This window comes from Homo sapiens, chromosome 20 (genome assembly GCF_000001405.40).
Source record: "Homo sapiens chromosome 20, GRCh38.p14 Primary Assembly".
Taxonomy (NCBI): Eukaryota; Metazoa; Chordata; class Mammalia; order Primates; family Hominidae; genus Homo; species Homo sapiens.
In genome coordinates, this window is record NC_000020.11 from 1,033,023 (window position 1) to 1,038,297 (window position 5,275).

General features: G+C 46.5%; 1 annotated feature.

Moving 5' to 3' along the window:
* Positions 1,055 to 1,104: an enhancer, noted in NCBI's record as "active region_17449". NCBI's record gives its function as "activates an Ori minimal core promoter by ATAC-STARR-seq in GM12878 lymphoblastoid cells {active_cell/tissue: GM12878}" and the evidence as "EXISTENCE:reporter gene assay evidence [ECO:0000049][PMID:35858748]".

Consider the following 5,275-nt stretch of genomic DNA (forward strand, 5'->3'; position numbering starts at 1 on the left):
ATATTAAATATATTGGGGGCAATGTTCACTGACAAGAATGGGACACCTAAATCTTTAAAGACCCATTGGTCGCCTGATCACATGATCCCATCTGGCCCTCATGACACTCCTGAGGACCAGATTTTTTTTGTTGTTTTTAGAGACAGAGTTTGCTATGTCACTCAGGCTGGGATGCAGTGGTACAGTGATGGCTCACTGCAGCCTTGAACTCCTGGGCTCAAATGTTCTTCCTGCCTCAGCCTCCCAAAGCTCTGGGATTACGGGCATGAGCCACCATGCGTGACTGAGAACCCGATGTGTTGCCCCATGTTACATATGAAGATACATCTTTAAGGTAATGAATATCCCAATCACCCAGATTTAATTCTTAAGCGTTGTATACAGGTATCAAAATATCACATATACCCCCCAAATATGGCCAACTATTGCATGATTAAAAAATAAAAGAAAAAAGAAAAAGAAACCATCTTTAGCAATACCCTTTTAAAAAGTGCTTTTTGTTTGTTTAGCTTTCTTTGAACATTTGACCCAAGTCTTCCCTCACTCAGAAAACCACTCTGTAAAACATCCCTCAACATGATTTCCTCACAGACAAACCTGTCTGATAATTTAATGCTGCTGCCATTTTTTTTTCTGGAGCTCTGAACTTTGATGCCTATCTGGACTAGTTTTGCTCTAGACTTGGGGCACAGATACCATTAGGAATTCCTTTGTCTCTCCTGTGTTGAAACCACAGACTGCTATATCTCAGTTCATCATAGAAAATTTACAAAATAAAAGCCACAGAGATTCATTCCCCTGCCTGTGTCTAAGCTCTTGTCCAAGCCCCTCTCACATTGACTCTGGGCTTGGTCACGTGACTTGCTTTGGCCAATGGCATAATGGCAAACATGACACAAGCAGCAGCTGGAAAATTACTTGTGCATATGAGCCTTTGCCCTTTCAGCTCTGGGGAACCCTGTGACCACAACCAGGCTGGCAGCAAACCCAGGCTGGTTTGCTGAAGTATAAGAGACCGATGGCTAAATCATCTCTGTTACCCCAGCTGTGCCAAGCCAACCAGCATATATATGTGAGTGAGGCCATTGACGACCAGCTGACGGCAGACACAGGAGAGAAGCCAGCCAAGACCACATGGAGCCCAGCCCACGCCACTACTGGGCTATAGGTTCATAAGGGAATAAATGGTGGCCGTTTTCAGGCAATTTGTTACACAGGAAAAGCTCATGGTTCCTCTTCTTGGTTTAGTTCCTCTTTTTGGTGGAGCACAGCCCCTGGTAGCATGGAAGTTTTAAAACATGTGCACCAATCCTTTGACACTTGTCCCATCAGCAGATAGGGTTCATGACACCTTCCCTTGCTTGGGCCTGTACCTTAGTAATGCAGCAAAAGTGACATGGCATAACTTCTGAAGATAAGTTAGAAAAGGCCCTACAGTTTCCACCTGGTTCTCCTGGGACACTCACTCCGGGGTAAGCCAGCCATTGAGGAAGAGGTATGAGATCACCGTGCTGGAAAAGCTACATGTCAACACACCACTCAACAATCCAGTCGAGACAGCCTTCCAGCCATCTGGGCCAAAGGAGCCAGACTGGTGAGTGATGTCATCTTGGGCCCTCCAGACCAGCTCATCCACCAGCTGAAGACCACTAAGTGAGCTCCATCAACACCACGTGGAACAGAATCATCACCCAGTTGCACCCTCCCTCAGTTTTTAACCCACAAAATTAATCCACTAATTTTGGTGATGGTTTGTCATGCAACAATAGATAACCAGATTCTATGCCATGATGGGAAGTTCTGCAGTTTCATTGGGAAGTGGCAGGCATTCTGGGACAGAAAAAACTTGGGGTCATTTGTGCAATCTACTGCACAGATTTTTAATCTCTGGTTTCTTACTCTCTGTTCCTTCCAGAGAGCTTCTTGTTCACATTTTACTGCTGCAATATCTTTATCACTCAAGGGATATTAATTGTAGGATTTATTTTAAGTTTTCTCTTGTTCCCTGGATTCTTTTCTTGAAGACCTTTTACCCCGCCCTCATGGTTTGCTTTGATCTCTGCACTTCATGATAGAAATTTCTAATGATCCTTGGCTGTCTACTCACATTACCACTCTGGCTGGAAACTGGGTGGGGAGGGTGGACTGGTAGGCTTTTGTGTAGGGTCCATGCAGGGTGGTTGCATAGGGCTGGTGCAAAGGGGCTGGTTGGCTTTTTCTGTGATGCACTCTCCTCCCACCCCCAATTACCGTATCTTTAGGTCTTTGTCCTGGAAGTGGTTCTCCAGATAATTTTCTGCCTGGGGTTGGACATTCTAGAATGAGACGGGTGAAGGGGGCTGAAGATCTCACCTTCTCTGGGCCTGATGTTTCTAGTTTTGGAGTTTCTTTGTTGCCTTTTTTTCAGAGAATAAACCTCCCTTTGCTTGCCCAGAAGTGAGTGGGGTTACTACCTGGCTGGGCAGGATGGGGGTTGGGGACGTGGAGGTCCCATGCTCCTTGTACAGATTGCTTTCAATCCCCACTTCACCAGCAGCTCCTCCAAGACCTAGTAGCTTCAATTTTTGAGGCCTTTAGGCAAATTGGCTTGTTTCTCTATGCAGCAATCCACCCACACAGCAGTCACCTACCCCATCCATTTAGCTTTGACTTTCTTCCTCTCGGTTATGTCACTGGCCACTTCATCCATTTCCCTCCTTTGTAGTTCAGGGTTACAAATGTCTCTCGATTTCCTCAAAGACAGAGTTTTTGTTTCTGCTCCTTATTCTTGTTTTGGGGAAGTTTTTTGTTTGTTTTTTTCTTTTTTAAGAAGAGAAAAGGAATAGAAATGTCTTTAGTCTACTATCTTAAAGCCACCATTTCATTAGAGTTTTAAATGGAAAAAGCACCCTCTTATATTGGACAGAAGTGTGTCAGCAATGTGGGTTTTGTGACTCTTACTGGAGTAAGAGCCTACATTATACGCCAAGGTGGCTTCATGTTCTAGTTTTACAAATGCATTTGATACAGTTAATAAAATAGCAAATTATGTATTAAGGAGAATACAGATAAGTCATTGCTGGCTTGGCAGAGAGTGGAGAGCAGCCTTGACCAAAAAGCTTAGAGGAGGAAAAGTGGGGTGGAGGCATGAGGTTGACCTGTCCCTGCTAAGTGCCACTGTTTTCAGCTCACCCCTTTCCACCTGCAGGTCCCTGCTCAGATGCCACCTCCTTGGAGGATCCCCACCCACCTGTCACTTTCTCTCTACTAACTTGTTTTATGTCTGACTGCCTGCCAATGGATTTGATTGACTTATTTATCTTTAGGTTTGTCGACCCCACTAGATCATGGGCTCCATGACCAGGGGGAGCTTTGCTTTTTCACCTCCATACACTCGGTGCCTGTGAGCACCTGGTACATCAGTAGATGCTCAATAAAGAGTTGTTGAGTGAACAAATGAATGAGCCAGTGATTGCGTGGATCCATGTTTTCTATGAGAAGGCAGAGCTCTGAGGACAGACAGAGGCCCAGTGTGCATGAGAAAGTCCTGCTGGCCCAGGCAGTGGCCTAAGAGCTGCCTACCATGGCGGTCACTGTTCTTGGGGAACCACAGATGTTTCCCCTCTAATCCCTCCATGGGGACCAGGGGGGCATGAGAATGGGAGAGAACACAAAGTCCCTTTATTCAGGGGAGTGGATTCCATCTCAAGACAAATTGTTACCTCCAAGGCCACCAGCCGCCCAGCCGGCCCATCACCATGGCCTCCCTCTTAAGGATGTGGGCACAGGCCCGGCCAGAGCTGAAATTGCCCTGGAAACTAGTCTCCCCTTTAATTAACAGGGAGGGCGACCAGGCCTGCTAACGGGGTGGGGTATGGAGTCGGGGTGGGGTCAAGTTCATAAAGTCCCCAAAGAATCAAGGCCTCCTTGTTTATTTTCCCGAAAATGTTCCCCATTACCCAGAACAGCATAGGGGCCAAGCAGGCCGCAGGCAGGGAAAAAGCTTTAACCTCCCCGCTGCTCAGCTCAGCACATCACTATTTGACTTGCATTTTAAAAATAATTACAAACTTAATGAAAAAATAACCTAACCCCCAAACAGGCCAGGGACTCATGGCCAGCATTGGCAGGAGCAAGCCCCTGGCAGCTGTGAGGATGAGATGCAAAGGGTATAGAGGAACCACTGGAAGACAGGGGACACCCTTTAGATGGACACTCCCTCTCTCTAGCGCCAGCTTTGGCTCCCTATTGCCCTTTGTGTCATGCCCAAATGTCTCAGCCCATGTCTTAGAGCCAGTTTTACTCAGGCCCTATGTGGAAGACACTGGAACCCAAAGAGGAAAGGAAGTTGCTCAGGTTGTGCATTGTGTGGGACCTGATGCAGGTAGTGAGGCTGGTTGGGATGGGTTCTCGGGGAAAGAGTGGAGGAAAGTGAGAATGTGTCTCTGTTACCATCTGAGCCCTGGCTGGGTATGGCCAACATGCCAGGTAAGCAGCCTTGGGAAGCAGGCACGATGATTATCCATCTTTAATATCCCAGGACTTGAGTCCAGGTCTGTCGGGCTTTTAGCCACCACACTAAGTGCTGTAAAAGGAGCTGGAGGTAGAAATGAAGTAACAACAATAATAATAATAAGCAGCTTTCATGGATTGTAGACTATGTGCCGTGCACTGTGCCAAGCTCTTTACCATCTCTTTTAATCTTTGCAATAACTTTATCTGGTAGGTAGTGTTATTGACCCATTTTACAAACGACGCCCAGAGCATTGGTTCAAGGTTGTGCAGCTGGGAAATGGCCTGTACTCTTCTACCCTGAGAATAATGCTCTACAGTGAGTCAGGGAGTCTTGTGAGGTCTCAAGAACAGGGACCTTGTCTGTCTTATTCACTTGTGTGTCCTCAGAGCCCAGAAGAGAGACTGGCATATAATAGATATTTAATATCTGTGTTGTGAATAAGAATGAACAAATGCACCTGGACCTAGAAGTAACTTCCGATGAACCATCCCAGTTCTCCCTTCCCCATTCCGGATTATCTTTACTTACCTGGAAGTGAACAAGATATTAAGGGGCTCCAAAAGAACTGAGAAATAGAACTTGGTTTGAAAGACAGTAGGGAGCCACAGCAGGTCCTTCAGGAATGGAGTTCCAAGCTAGGGGAGTGATGGTCTTCCTGTGTCTTTATGGATTCCAGGAGCTAGTCAAGGTCAATGAGCCTTTAGCCAGAAGGTCAAGTTATCCCCAGTGGTAAGTGTTGGGGGAAGAGGAGGGCACTTCTCAGGAGTTGAGGGTCCCAAA